General features: G+C 40.2%; 1 protein-coding gene across 18 annotated transcripts in view; it reads left to right on the forward strand.

Moving 5' to 3' along the window:
* KALRN (kalirin RhoGEF kinase) overlaps nt 1–15,983 on the forward strand; it is a 692,957-nt gene extending 676,974 nt beyond the window's left edge. For all 18 annotated transcript variants that reach the window (XM_006713810.4, XM_017007429.2, XM_011513279.3 and 15 more), the window contains 3 exons: nt 2,593–2,793; nt 6,905–7,043; nt 8,583–15,983. In XM_006713810.4, coding sequence (XP_006713873.1) covers nt 2,593–2,793; nt 6,905–7,043; nt 8,583–9,128 — 886 coding nt within the window. In that variant the 3' untranslated portion in view covers nt 9,129–15,983. The remainder of the gene's footprint in view (nt 1–2,592; nt 2,794–6,904; nt 7,044–8,582) is intronic.

Genomic DNA, 16,361 nt, shown 5'->3' on the forward strand with positions numbered 1-16,361 from the left:
GGAGGCTAAAATCTCATCTTCCACAGTGGGATGTCAACAGAAATAATTAAAACTGAAAAATCAAGAAGTAGCCACTCAAAGCATACTATTGAGAGTCATAGAAGTAAATATTTCAATAATCTGCTAAACTATATTAAATTGATATATTAAACTGCCTCTCAGGCCAGGCACAATGTCTCACACCTATAAGCCCAGCACTTTGGGAGGCCAAGGTGGGCGGATCGCTTTGAGCTCAGGAATTCAAGACCAGCCTCGGCAATATGGCAAAATCCTGTCTCTACAAAAAAATACAAAAAATTAGACAGGTATGGTGGTACACGCCTATAGTCCCAGCTACTTGGGAGGCTGAGGTTGGAGGATCACTTGAGCTTGGGAGGCAGAGATTGCAGTGAGCCAAGATCATGCTACTGCACTCAAGCGTGGGTGACAGAGCAAGACTCCAGGGAAGGAAAAATGGGGATGAATTGTTTTTAAATAACAAACCTGTAAAGATAGTTGACTTTTTAAACCATGGGTCTGCATAACTTTGACAACTACAAACCTTTTTCTAAAAATTAAGCTAGCAGTACCTTGAGATGGCCACTAAATTCGGGAGAGCTATCCTCAGCATTCAATTGTTTTCATTGTTTCATTTCACTCCTCTGCAAGAAGTAACTTATGATAATCAAACTCACAAAGAGAGTGCTGTTAAAACCAGAATGGCAATTTATTAATTTATGATGTGAAACAAAACTGCCATTTTGACCAAATATTTGCTTACTGTGCCAAGAATGATATTTGGTAAATAATATATATTCAATAAATACTTGTCTAAGACTTGTTTTACTGATTAGTACATTATTTTTTTAAAAAAAATTTTTAAAGCGAAAGGATCTCACTATGTTGTCCAGGCTAGTCTCAAACTCCTGGGCTCAAGCAATCCTCTTGTCTCAGCTTCCCAAAGCACTGGGATGACAAGCATGAGCCATTGCACCTGGCCTTATTAGCACATTATTTTATGCAAATATATGATGAGAAAAAAAGTATTATTAGAAAGTTGTCTTTTGAGCACAGAGCCAGGTCAAGGAGGCAGTTAGATCATCTTCATGGTGGCCATGACACACCCATTTCTGTTGGAGGAATGGGCTGGTCTTCAGACTGTTCTCTCCTCTGCTCGTGGGTTAGGACACCTCATGGGCAGGGCTTGGATGGTGCTGCCTTGTCACCTCATTGACCCTCCCTTCATCTGCCCCATTGCTGACCTGTGCCCTACAGAGCTCTCTTGCCACCTTCCACAGGGCAACAGCTGTATCTGGGAACCATTCTATTTCAGGGGTGGGTAATTTTGTCAGATGCAATAATGGCAGAGTGGTTGTATATTTCTAAGTGTTCTTGTCGATAGGGATGTAAACTGAAGTATTTATGAGTGACATGACATTATATCTGGATTTGCTTAAAATATTCCAGGGTGGAAAAAAGCAGGGGATAGAAAAGAGATAGATGAAACAAAATTGATTAAATTGTTCATGATTATTGAAGTTGGCTGCATAGGAGATCTATTTTGCTATTTTCTTTACTTTTGTGTATATTAGAAAGTTTCCATAATAAGAAGATAACAAACATAAAATAAAATGAAATGATGGACTCTTTAAAATCTTTTTAATGAGAGCTAAGCTATGAGGACACAAAGGCATAAGAATGATATGATGGACTTTGGGGACTTGGGGGAAAGGGTGAGAGGGTGGTGAGAGATAAAAGACTACACATTGGGTACTGTGTACACTGCTTGGGTGATGGGTGCACCAAAATCTCAGAAATCACCCTCTAAAGAACATATTCATGTAACCAAACACCACCTGTTCCCCAAAAACCTATTGAAATTAAAAAACAAAAATCCAATTTGCAATGGCTTTACAGTCTGGCTTTTTCATCGTGTCATGGCCCCACAAAGAGTTAGCATTTGTGCTAGACCTTGAAGGAAGTAGAATTGGTATGTATGAGAAGGAGAAAAAAATAATAAAAATGTTTTTAAAATTATCGTTGAGTAGAATTCCTCCTTCTTTAACATTATTGCTGTTTCTATTGTTGTATTTCACAGAAATACATATTCTGCCTCGAAAAGAAAACTGAACTGCCATTGATGGTTAAAATGGCAGAGAAAAATGTTGGTTTAAAAAATTACATTAGTTAGGCCAGGCAGAGTGGCTCACACCTGTAATCCCAGCGCTTTGGGAGGCCGAAGCAAGAGGCTTGAGCCTGGAAAGTTGAGGCTGAAGTGAGCCATGATCACATGACTGCACTCTAGCCTGGGTAGCAGAGCAAGACCCTGTCTCAGAAAAAAAAAAAAAAAAAGCTTTATATTACATATAAAAATATAATTTATAATGTAATTAGATTATATATAATATAAAAAGTTTTTGACATCTCAAAAACCCTAAAATGCTAAAGAAGGAAAAATGGATTCTCTGAATAACATTATAATTAAAAATATAGGAGAGTAGGATTCCTAATAAGATCTATCTGACCACTTCCCACAAAACTTTACTTATCCATGAATAAAATATATCTAGTTAATTAATGAATGTTGGCAAACTCTCCCTTTTGTTTTTCCAGAGGCCGTTTCTCTATAGTAAAGAAATGCATTCACAAAGCTACCCGCAAAGATGTGGCTGTGAAATTTGTTAGCAAAAAAATGAAGAAGAAAGAACAGGCTGCCCACGAGGCTGCCCTGCTTCAGCACCTACAGCACCCCCAGTACATCACTCTCCATGACACCTATGAGTCCCCCACATCCTACATCCTGATCTTGGAACTGTAAGTACAGACGCCATCTCTCTAAAGTCGCCTGCATCCATTTAGGTTAGCTTTTGCCCACAATTAATGGAAAAGACAGTTACATTTTATACAAGGTCCTATCATTTGCAAAGTGCTGCATATAACATGCACTCTCTCCCCCATTTTATAATCAATGTCATTTCCATTTCAAAGATTAAAAAATCATAATAGGAATAAGGGAAGTCCTTAAAACTAGCTCCTTAAGACTAGGAATGGAGAAGCTGGGACTTGAACCCATATCTCTCTCACTTCCATGCTTATTTTCTTTCTATTATGGACTCTTGGGCTGGGCAGGAGTTTGGGAAGAGCTTGTCGACAGTAGGCTGATTGACAGGGTGGAGTTGAAAGACAGGGCTCTGTGTGTCAATTCACCACCATAGCAACTCCATTCTACCACCCAAAAAAATTCCTTCCAGGGGAGAGCCTTACCTTCAAAACATTCCACTCATTCCAGATTTTCTAGGGACTTAGGCAACCATATACGTGACCCCTAGAATAGATGTAATAAAGCAATAATGTCCCTTTCTCCCCACCACTACCCCAGGCTAAGAAGAGACAGTATGTTCTGTGGTTTAGATAAATATCACAGAGATTAAAGAGAACAGAGTCTTTTCAGAAGTGATACAAGTAACAGAAATGTGATCAGATTGGTGCTACTGAGGCCCTTGGCCTAGACAGGAGACAGACATTTCCGCCAAAGACCATTGCCGAGTATGGCTCCACAAGAACCCCTTTTCAGTAGAGAAGTGCCTGCATTTTCAGCTTTTCAACTACCATGTTAGTCCGGCTCTTGCGTGCTTGTTAGTCTAGGTGTGTGTGTACGGGATGTTTGAGTCAGTAACTTGTCACAAATTTATTTATGATAAAATAAGAAAGCAAAAATGCAAACAAGTTTGGCTATTTTTAAAATCAGCTGGAAAAAAAAAAAAACAGAGGGGACAAACCCCATGCTGCTAGCATCTGTAATCCTTTTGTGAAACTTAAACTTTATGTAGTTAAGTAGTTGGTAGTTTGTCACTTTAGACTTAACAGACTTAACAGTCTCTTTCAGAGCCTGATCTGTTTGTAGGGAACCTCCTAACTCAAAAGACATTATTCTATTGCTAGTGAACTATACTTGTCCACAGATGACAACATCTGTGCTTGTGTTCCAGTGAAAGGTATTGTCACTGTGTACCAGGTTGAGTTCAGCTGACCCAGAACTTCTGCCCCTTCAGACTTGCCAACTGCTGTTTCAAGGGAAGGTGCTGATATTGGGCTACTGTAGTGCAATGGAAAGAAGCTGCTCTTGGAATGAGGAATCTGGGCTCACGTCCCAGCTCTGTGATTTGAAGCAGAATACTTAGTTTGCTGGGGCCCCGAGTCCTCATCTGTGAAGATTGAAATTCCTCCAACTTCCCAGAGATGTTGCAGGGATTAAGTTAGATGAACAGTGGGTTGAACTAGTTTAGCAAACGTTTACTGAGCCCTCGCTATGCACCAACTACCATCCAGACCAGGGCCAGGGTCGGGGGAACAAAGTTATAGTTATAAGGGTAGTTTATAGGAGGCAGAGGTATAGTTTATAGGGGGAAAAGGGCTGGGCACGATGGCTCACGCCTGTAATTCTAGCACTTTGAGAGGCCGAGGTGGGCGGATCACTTGAGGTCAGGAGTTCGAGGCCAGCCTCGCCAACATGGTGAAACCCCATCTCTACTAAAAGTACAAAAATTAGCTGGACATGGTGGCAGGCACCTGTAATCCCAGCTACTCGGGAGGCTGAGGCAGGAGAATTGCTTGAACCCAGGATGTGGAGGTTGCAGTGAGCCAAGATCACACTACTACACTCCAGCCTAGGCGACAGAGTGAGACTCCATCTCAAAAAAAAAAAAAAAAAATAGGGGGAAAAGATATAGTTTTTGCCCTCGAGGAGTTACAAGTCTAATGAGGAAGACCAATAGATAGATAAATGGATGATTTTAATATAACATGATAAATACTAAGAAAGAAAAGCATGCATTGGAGAAGATTGCTGTGAGAACATAGGTGCTTGGTTGGACCTGAAGTTCAGGGAAAGTTTGTGGAGAGGCAGTGCCTGAGCTAACCCCTGTGCTGGATCTCATTATCCTGTTATGCTTATTTGGCAAATACTTATGCTGCCAATTAGGTGACGGTGGCCTCCCCTTAGGTGGTCACCAGAATTGCTGGGAGAGCCTTTCTTTACCAGGCAACTGAGATTTGGATTCCCTAGTCTAGGGTAGGATGTGGGCATCTGCCTTATCCAAAAGCTCTAAAGGTGAACTTGGTGGCTAAGACTCTCTCACTTGGAGCAGTGCTGCTGTTAATTGCTCCCTTAATGACTCCAAGAAGTTCAGGGGAATACATTTAACAAGCCCAATCCTACTCCACTCTACTCTGATCACTCTTACCTCACCCTTAGCAGGGTCAGAGGAAAGCAAAAGAGGCTTGCATGGGTTCTAGCCTTTGCTCCTGTCAGGGAAAGTAGAAGACACCAGTGGGAAGGAGCAAGCTAGAGGGGAAGAGGTAAACTTGACCAGGGGGATTTCAGCTGTAACTGAAAGTCATTTCTGACCCTGCATCAGGCTCCTCTGCATGGGCATTTCCTGGGCATGTGCCTTTAACAACTCAATGTACACTAAAGAATACCTGACATTTGGTAACTCCTTGCTGTAAGAGGACAGAGGGTGGCTGAGAATAGTTACCATTTATTTAGCACTTACCTATGCTACCAATTATGCTTAAATGCTTCATCATCTCACTCCATCCTTGCACAATCCTCATAATCAAATAGGTGAACAGTAATATTCACCCACTATATGATAATATTAATTCATTATATTATATTAATATAATGAATAATAATTGTTATTATTTTGTTGCTGTTCTTATTCCCACTTTAAAGATGGTTCACTTTGGTGAAACCAAAACACAGAGTTCAAATGACTTGCTCCCAGCCTTCAGCAGGTAGGTAACAGAACCAGGATTCGAATCTGGGTCTGGATGGCTCCATATACCATGTTCTCAATCACAGTTCTCAAGGTTGGAAAAGTTGCCCAGAAGGCAAAGGATTCAAAAAGGGATCAAGAGCCGGGCACGCTGGCTCATGTTTGTAATCCCACCGTTTTGGGAGGCCCAGGCGGGTGGATCACTTGAGACCAGGAGTTTGAGACCAGCCTGGCCAACATGGCAAAACTCTGTCTCTACTAACAATACAAAAATTAGCTGAGTGTGATGGCACACGCCTGTAATTCCAGCTACTTGGGAAGCTGAGACACCAGAATCGCTTGAACCTGGGAGGCGGAGGTTGCAGTGAGCTGAGATCATGCCACTACACTCCAGCCTGGGTGAAAGAGAGACTTTGTCTCAAAAACAAAACAAACAAACAACAACAACAAAAAAAAGGTGGTGGGGTAGGGGAGGGACAGAGAATCAATAATGCAAAGAACAAACTTTGCCTACTTTCTGTTTTCCCCAACTTAAAACTGACAAATGAAAGTAGTTTGGCTAGGCACAGTGGCCTCCTCCAGAAATCCCAGCTATGTGAGGGGCTAAAGCAAGAGGATCACTTGAGTCCAGGAGTTCGAGGCTGCAGTGAGCTATGATTGTGCCACAGCATTCCAGCCTGGGCGACACAGTGAGACTTCATCTCTAAAATTAATCTTAAAATAAAATTAAGAAGTACTTTGCAAAACACATGTGGGGCTGTTTGCAGCCACTAGGTTATGGTTAATCAGGATATTGCTGAAGTCTCTCTTGGTGAAGGCTTTCTTTACTTAGCAATCAAACCTCTTAAATGGGTGTCACAACTTTTTTCTTGTGAGCAATTTTTAGAGTTAATGAAGGAGAATGTTTCTTAAACAAGGTTATACACACTCCCTGCAGTATACCATATTTGTAAATATATTTATTTTAGTTCTGAATATTACAATAACTTTAGGCTCTAACTAAATATGCATGTGTTGCACATTTGGTCTTCATGTATAACAATAAGTATGAGAGAGTTTAGAGATCTTACTGATTTGTACATGTGTTATTTTTCTATTTCTTCATTTCAAACATATTTCCTTTGCCTTTCCCTGCCTACTTTCAGGATGGATGATGGCCGGCTCTTAGACTACCTTATGAATCATGATGAACTGATGGAGGAAAAAGTAGCTTTCTATATCCGAGACATCATGGAGGCTCTGCAGTACCTTCACAACTGCAGGGTTGCACATTTGGACATAAAGGTAATAAGAAGTGGCAACCTGCTGGGCGCAGTGGCTCACGCCTGAAATCCCAGCACTTTGGGAGGCCAAGGTGGGCGGATCACAAGGTCAGGAGATCGAGACCATCCTGGCTGACACGGTGAAACCCCGTCTCTACTAAAAATACAAAAAATACAAAAAAATTAGCCAGGAGTGGTGGTGGGCACCTGTAGTCCCAGCAACTTGGAAGGCTGAGGCAGGAGAATGGCATGAACCTGGGAGGCGGAGCTTGCAGTGAGCCGAGATCGCGCCACTGCACTGTAGCCTGGGCGACAGAGCGAGACTCCCTTCAAAAAAAAGAAGTGGCAACCTTGCAGGGAATACCTTAAATGGCCAAGTCCAACTTACCAGTCATTACTCATAAGGAATATAAATTCAAATTCATTTTATTTACTTAGAGTAGAATATTATAACTTTTTTTTATTTGAGACAGAGTCTGACTCTGTTGCCGAGGCTGAAGTGCAGTGGTGCGATCTCGGCTCGCTGCAACCTCCGCCTCCCAGGTACCAGCGATTCTCCTGCCTTAGCCTCCCAAGTAGCTGGGATTACAGGCGCTCACCACCATGCCCAGCTAATTTTTGTATTTTTAGTAGAGACAGGGTTTCATCATGTTGGCCAGGCTGGTCTTGAACTCCTGACCTCAAGTGATCTGCCCGCCTTGGCCTCCCAAAGTGCTGGGATTACAGGCGTGAGCCAACACATCCATCCCATTATGACTATTTTTTTTTTTTTTTTTGAGATGGAGTCTCGCTCTGTCACCCAGGCTGGAGTACAGTGGCATGATCTCAGCTCACTGCAACCTCTACCTCCCAGGTTCAAGCAATTCTCTGCCTCAGCCTCTTGAGTAGCTGGGATTACAGGCGCCCACCACCATGCCTGGCTAATTTTTTTGTATTTTTAGTAGAGATGGGGTTTCAACATCTTGGCTAGGATGGTCTCGAACTCCTGACCTTGCGATCCACCCGCCTTGGCCACCCAAAGTGCTGGGATTATAGGTGTGAGCCACCGTGCCCGGCCTCCCCATTATGACTATTAAAGAGAATCTGGGCTGTCACACAATTTAAGTGTATCATCCATGAATTAATGAGAATATGCCAGAGCCACAATGACATCTGGTGTGAGAGAAGGTAGGGAAGTTCTACCTACCTAATCTAACTTCATAGAAGTAAGCCAACAAACGTCACCTTCTCTTCCATGCTTCTCAAAAAGAAGCCCCTGTTCACCAAAATGAGTAATTTATTATTTCCTTGATTCAATGCAGAAGCAGTGTAGTTAAGAAAACATGATTTTCAATGTCAAACAACTTCTCTGAATTACCACCCAAACTCAAAGTGTAGTAAGCTCAAAATGATAGTTTGAAGTATCCTATGCAGTTTCCGTAGTGCATAGGGAATTTTCTGTACACCATAGGCTTTATCAAAGAATAGCATAACTGTGTTTGAATTAATGAGGTATTTTGAGTAGTCAAAATAGAGGCCTAAACTTCCCTTCTTTTCTCCCTGCTTCCTTGGATCTCTGCAGCCTGAAAACCTGCTCATTGACCTACGGATTCCAGTGCCTCGAGTGAAGCTCATTGACTTGGAGGATGCTGTCCAGATCTCGGGTCACTTCCACATTCACCACCTGCTGGGGAACCCTGAGTTTGCTGCCCCAGAAGTCATTCAAGGCATCCCCGTCTCCCTGGGGACAGACATCTGGAGCATCGGGGTTCTGACATATGTCATGCTGAGTGGGGTCTCCCCCTTCTTGGATGAGAGCAAAGAGGAGACATGTATCAACGTATGCAGGGTGGATTTCAGCTTCCCCCATGAATACTTCTGTGGTGTGAGCAATGCTGCCAGAGATTTCATCAATGTGATCTTACAGGAAGATTTTCGGAGGCGGCCCACAGCAGCCACATGCTTGCAGCATCCATGGCTGCAGCCCCATAATGGCAGCTACTCTAAGATCCCCCTGGACACCTCCCGCCTAGCATGCTTCATAGAACGTCGCAAGCACCAGAATGATGTGCGGCCTATTCCCAATGTCAAGAGCTACATTGTCAACCGGGTGAACCAAGGGACGTAGCCATCTCCCAGCCCCTATGGTTTCACATAGACGTGCAGTGTGAACCAAAGCAAGACTGAATGTGACTGTAAATAATTCTGTTCATCATTTCACTCCGTGCAGTTCTCTGAATTGAGAGATGTACCTCTTAAACCTCGTCAGTGGTTATTCAGGGTCTGAGCAGCAGTAAAAGTCACCCTAAATCAAGGGGCTTTTCAGAAGGTCATTCTGAAGAAATAAAGAGGCAAAGGGTCACAGAAGTGTTCAGAAGAAGGGCAAAGATAAGAACAATATTAGCTGTTACGAAATTTTAACTGTATCTTCCAAAATGAGTGGTTAACTGGGCAAACCTTAAGCTCACAAGAGTATAAAAGATCTCTGGCTTTGCTGAAATTTTAAGCAAGAAGTTCTATTTAATGGAGATGTCATGTATATCAACTATTCTGGTTTAGATAACTTAGATATAGTTTCTTAATAGGATAGATACCCACATACAGTATAATATATCCCATTCAGGTTTCAGAGTTTTCTAATATAGAGATATATATATTAAATCAATCACAAGTAATTTTGAGTGCTCCAGTTAAGACAGTAATTTATTTACCGAATCATTACATTGTTTTGACTAAGCACAATTAGATGACAAGTTTTTTTAGAGCATTTTATAGATCTTGTATAGAAATCTTTTACCAGAACCTGTGCATTAAGAGAAAGCAATGTTGCCCTTTTGAATGAGAAAATTTTTTCTGTCAATCGCAGGTTATTTGATTAAGATAGGTTCTTTCTGTATATGAAACGCTCCCCGCAAATTCACTGGCAGCTCAGAATTATTCTGGAAAGAAAGCCTGCCAGGAAATAAATTCAAATACAGTATGAGCTGCGGGGATATTTTTGTGTCTACACCAGGTTTGAAATAAGTAAACAAATACAAGAGGTTCATATAAAAGGGCAAATGAAAACCTTTCCTACAGTTCCTATGAACAACGTACCAACACTTTCTGATTTCTTCTACAGCTGTAGAATACCATCTTTCAGAAAGTTGGCTGGCTTTATTTCTAACTCCTTATTGAAGCTAAGGGGTGCTTACTAAAAGGAGGCAGCCATATAGGCCTTTTAAAGGCCTGGTTCTAAGTCCTTTTTAAAGCCATGGAACAAAACCTGATACATCACCCTAACAGAGCATTAAGTTGTAACTGAGATTGCAATACCTGTCACCATGCAGCCGCTGATAGTTCTCTGAACTAAAAGGACTAATTGTACTTTGAGGCCAATGCTGCTTTCTGGTGTATATTCTCCATACAAGATTATTATTAACTGCTCTTTTTCCCTCTGGTGGAAAAAAAATTAAACCTGGGCATTTCATGGGTTTTCTTTCTTTATTTTTGTTCATTTGTTTTGGAGGGAGGGAGCTTGTTTTTTGTGTTTGTACATGATCCACCCTTAGTTTTCTAGAATGTGTGTTGAAAATTGCGATTATACAAGTAAGATTTTAAAAATGTAACTCAAGTGTTTGTTCAAATCAGGTTTAATGGTGTTGCTTCTCTCCTATAATGGGATAGAGAAAATTAAAATCACGTAGTACAGAAGTGCAAGAAGAGAATTTATGAAGGATGAATAGAACTACAAACCTATCTAAATGAAAAAGAAATGGTGGAAACTAAGCCTGAACTTTAACATATAAAAAACACTTATTCCCACAGAGAAAATGTAAAATTAAAAATCATCATCTTTTTTTTTCCATTGGTTTCAAAGACAACTTCCTCATTCGCCCTCCACCTCATCCCATCCAAGATTATAGATTGATAAATTAATGGAAAGTATAAGCAATAAGACTAGATAGCACTTAGTATTTTTGGGATTAACCAAATATATGGAAACCGACTCCGACTGTATTTGTTTCTTAATTTTCAAATGGCCCTGGGTCATAAAGCCTCACTCCCTCAGAGGTCTCTCGACTAACCCCTATAGTCTTCATTTGGACCTTTATGTATTTACAAACACTCTATGATACAATACATAAAAATTTAAAACATACATTAAACATGGTTACTAAAATTTTTCAAAATGTAAAACATATTTAGTAAAAAAATTTTAGTAAACATGTTTTCATTGTGTTTAAAAAATTTAAAACATATTTACTAAAAATCCTTTTAGTAAACAGTTTACTAAAACCCTTTCAATAAACATGTCTTCATTATGGTATACAGCATAAAAGAGGAAAGCCTGAGCCGGGCGCGGCGGCTCACGCCTGTGATCCCAGCACTTTGGGAGGCCGAGGCGGGTGGATCACAAGGTCAGCAGTTCGAGACCAGCCTGACTAACATGGTGAAACCCTGTCTCCACTAAAAATACAAAAAAATCATCTGGGCGTAGTGGCGGGCACTCGTAATCCCAGCGACTTGGGAGGCTGAGGCAGGAGAATCGCTTGAAACCGGAAGGCGGAGGTTGCCGTGAGCCGAGATTGCACCACTGCACTCTAGCCTGGGCAATAAGAGCAAAATTCTGTCTCGAAAAAAAAGGAAAGCCTGGCCCATAGGGTTTGTCATGGGACAAACTGTAGGCTCTGAGGATTCCCAATATCCATAAAGTCCAGCTTGGCAAGTTCTGTTCTGTCCACTGTGGATGACCTGAATCAAGATCCCCCTGCTGAGCCATTCTGAGTTTTTATAACAAGTTGAGTTTCTGCTTGAGAAGGCCAGGGCCCAGAACAATGGTGTGCAGACCACGGCAGGTGGGGGACAAGGAGGGTATTTTTGAAATTATGTTATGGGGGCAGTTGACAGAATGTTAGACAGACCCCAAGCTTTCATATCAGCTTTTACAACAGAGTTGGGAGGATCCAGATGTGGGGTTGCATGGAATTCCCCCAAGTACACATATTTGGGAAGTGAGAAGACAGGAAAGGAGGGACCTAGAAATGAAAAGTAGGATGATTTTGTTAACTGGAGCCAAGGTACAATCATTAGACTAGAATGAACTTAATAGAGGCCCCAAGAGAAAGGGGGTATATTTTATATAGTTTGATAACGGAGGGAAACTAACAGGGAGGCTCCCTGTCTGCAAAGCTCCTGGTCCCTCCCAACAGAGATAAGAGAGTAGTCTTGGTTCAAGAGTTCTCCACAGCAAGTTGGAAATAACAAGGAATCCCAGATGATGATGATCCTGGGGAATGTACTTTAGGTTGCTCTGAGGGCAACCGTGCTTAGGGAAAAAGGATCAGGGGCCACTCTTGTTCCTGTTTTGGCGGAGAGATTTATTACTTGGTAGTAAAGAAGAGAGGAGAGAAGAGAAAATGGTCCATTTCTATCATTATGATGGTAGTTCACAGTGGGAGTGAACTTTCAGCTGAAATGGGAAAAACAAACAATGGTCAAGGTCACAAGTTTCTTGCTTGGCTTTTATTCATTGCATAGGGTTTTGAGCTTTTTGTTTTGTTTTGTTTTGTAAGGGTGGGATACAGAAAGAATGAAAAGATCAGGGACAACCCATAATAACTTTTAAGAAGTATTAATATAATGATTTCCTACATCTTTTACATTTGTTTCAAATTAAATAGATATATATCCACTTACAGCTGAATGTGGTAAAATTTTTAAGAAAAAAATGGTAATGTTGGAGATATCCTTCAGGTCTCTCTCAGCCATAAACAATGTAAGGGGGAGTAGAGGAAGCAGAGGAGAAAGCTAGCTTCACTGCTTTGTGGTCCACAAAGCCTTTATAAATAGTAGTGCCTTTCAGAGGGGAGGATGGGAGATAAAGAAGTTCATTGCATTTAGATGTACTGATATTGCAGCATTTTTTCTTTACTTTAAAATATCTTGTAAATGAAAACATCTGAATATAGGGGTGGGACCAGGAATGTTTGAGTTTCAATCTCAGCTATTCCTGATTCATCTTTTCTTACAGAAAGTCTTTGTTTTTCCTTCCCCAAATGTCCCCATTGGTAAAATGGGAGTTGGGGGATGGGGAAGGAGGGAGGACATTAATCTTACAGGAATGTTGAGAAATAACCTTGGTGGGGACATCTATAAAATACTTTGATTTTTTTAAGTGCTACACACTGCCAGTGCTAAGAATTTTATTGATAGTAACTTTGAACATTCCAGGTTTTCAATATTCACGTCTTTAGATACCAATTATAAACTCATGAGATTAAATTCTGTAAATTGTTTTCAGTTGGAAGTATCAGGTGCTCTTTGTCTAAATGTTATTTGGTCTTAGCCTATAATTTCGATCATTTAAGAGCTTGTCTACCGAAAAGGGTTAGGAGAGCTGATGAAGTCTTATGTCCATAAGTTGTTTTCTCCAGTATTTCTTATGGCAGATGCGAAGAGTAAAATGCCCTTGAAAGCAACTGCTACCTTCCTTCTCAAGCTTTATGCTCTGGAAAAAAGGACAGAGAAGAACCCAACAACCACTTTCTTCACTTGGGAGGGCAGAAGTGAGAAGAAAATATCTTCTCATACCACAATTTATTTTTCACAGCCTCACAGGAATCTAAGAGACAAATTAAATGCACAGGCAAATTAAATGCATAGAAATGAATTGGACTGCTCATTTTTGGAGGACAAACCTTGAATCTTTTTTTTTTTTTTTAGGTGGTTAGGTCTTTTAGGAGTTGCATATTTGCTATCCCATAACCTCCATGATTAGAGCCCACGAGTTAGGCATTACTTTTTTCTTGCCTCTGTGGAAGAGCATGGCAATTTAGATTTGTGAGAATATGAGGGAGCAAATATGATATAAACTAAATTTTGCATTAACTAAAACTTTGTCCCATGCATTTAATACAGGAGGAAATTATTTTGTACGTAAGAGGTCTTTGTAGTAGGGCAAAGTTCAAACTCACCATGTCCTTATTCAGTATGGTCAATGAATTGTGCTGGATGAGTTTCGAGGAATGTAGACCTTCTTCCTTTCTCTCCTGGGTCGCACCTCTGTGGAGTCTGGGTTAGACAAATGCAATATGTGACCTTTCAGTGAATTTATTTATAAAACTGCACCTTGATTTTTCCTCACTATTTAAAGCCTAGGGATGATTTGATGATGAATGATTAAACCCATGGTGGGCTTAGAGACGACAGAGCTCACACACGCTCCATCAAGAAAAGGAAAGCTACTATGTTAATATTTATTTTCTAAAAATATTAAGGCTCTCAGTTGTTTCATTAATTCTAAAGGGTTAAAAAGGGCTGAAATTTGTTTATAGCACTAAATGTTTTTAATAGGAAATTTACTCACATAAAAAATTTAAGCAGAAGTAGTAGAATACAGATTATCATAAAACATATTTTCTATGAAAGGCATTTCTTCCTCATCTTCAATAAATATGAAGAAGTTAGAGGAGAGGAAAAAGCAATCACTCTAAGACAACTTTTCGTCTTTGAGGGACATTATGATAAGCCTGAAATTAATACGCACAGGCTATTGCATTTTTCTGTGAGAAATGTGCCCCTTTGCTGTGAGATTCTAAAATGTGTTCAGATTTAGTTTTTATTCAAATGATCAAGATAACGCATTAGTTAGATAACTGCTATTTCAGATAGTGAGGTTAGCTGAGAAAAGGAAGCATGGTAGAAGAAATGCAAATAACAATTCTTGGAATGCCAACTCCTGAGGCTTAGTTTAACCAAGCTAATTTGTTGGCCCAGGGATGGCCATCATATGAGTTTCCATCAATACCTGACTTCCATCAACAACTGAATCCATGTTCTGGAGTATTACAGAGACTGTTACTATGACCTCAAAGACTGTGGCTACGAATCTGAAGTTAACAAGACATACATCTTCTCTTACTAACTTAAGCCATATCTGTCAACTCTATGTTTGATTTTTCTGACCCTGGTGCTTTTACTTCTGTTTCTGCCAAACTTCAGCCTACTCTATGGGGAAGGTGAGTAAAACTAGTAGTTAGAACAAATATGAAGACTGAAAAAAACTAAACATACTCTTCATAATGAGATCCTGTTCAGAGAACAGTAGTGATCAAAGTGCAAACTGTTGGAAAATATGGATATATGTACATCTGTACATGTATATAGTGTATAATATGTATGTATATGTTATTGCTCATATGCAGAAATCTATCCATTTGCAGACAGCCCAGGTGGGTCAATGTTTCTAATGGAAAACCATTTAGGGCCATTCAAAACCATTAGGGCTAATTTGTGGAGACGAATTCTACTCATTCTGGAATTAATTTGCTGTCTTTTGACATCCACAAAGCCAAACTAACAAAGTGTGAAACATAAAGGGGCCATCATTTAGTTTATTCTGTTTATCTGGACTTATAACTATCTTTACATTTGAACTATTAATAGTTGATTTGCAAACTGTATTGGCATCTCTTGGTTTTGAGTGACCCCTGCCCCCCTCAAGTCTTTTGAGAATTTGGAGTGGGCTTCACTGGCCATTCAGACAAAGGGCCTTATTCATAAGTGGACAGGTTTCCCCATAGGGACCATCGCACATATACATATAAGTACATACTTCCATCAGGCTTGTAACAATTGATTTAAAATCACTCCACAGTATTGATAAATAGCTCTATATTTTCAAGGTGCAGAAGAATTCCACAGCCTTAATTATTTCAGTGTCTTGCTGGTCTGCCTTAAGTGTATCTTCTGGGTTTTTGGTTATTTTATTATTTTTAAATTTTTCTGCTGTTGTTCATTTTGTATGCACACAATGTCGTTTTGTAAAGGTAGGTTGTAAATATTTTATTTGTAAGTCAAAATCACTCATGTGTAATGTTGTAAAGTGATGACCTGCTGTCTTGTTACTGCTACAGTAAATGTTATAAGTTATGGATGAAACTTCAAAATGTACATCTCACATGTTATGCATTCCTATAAATATACTATACTAAAGATACTATATGGTTGTCTCTTTTTTCCTAATTAAACCTTTGTTCAAAGAAAAGAGTAATTTTTTTCTTTCTCCAAATATATGAAAGACTTAGAAAAGGTAAAAATATCACAGGATTATTACAACATGTTTGGCCCAGGATTTTAGAGAGAAAGCAACAATTTTGTGCCCTAGAGTATTCTAAGGCATTTACCCAAAAATGCCAAGGAAACCTCAGAGCCAGGTGTGGTGGCTAGCACCTGTAAATCCTAACACTTTGAAAGGCCAAAGTGGAAGGATCTCTTGAGCCCAGGAGTTTGACACCAGCCTGGACAAAATAAGGAGACACCCACGTCCCCCCAACCCCCCACATATTAAAAATTGTTTTAAAAATATTAACTGAGTGTG

The sequence above is a fragment of the Homo sapiens genome, chromosome 3, assembly GCF_000001405.40.
Source record: "Homo sapiens chromosome 3, GRCh38.p14 Primary Assembly".
Lineage (NCBI taxonomy): Eukaryota > Metazoa > Chordata > Mammalia > Primates > Hominidae > Homo > Homo sapiens.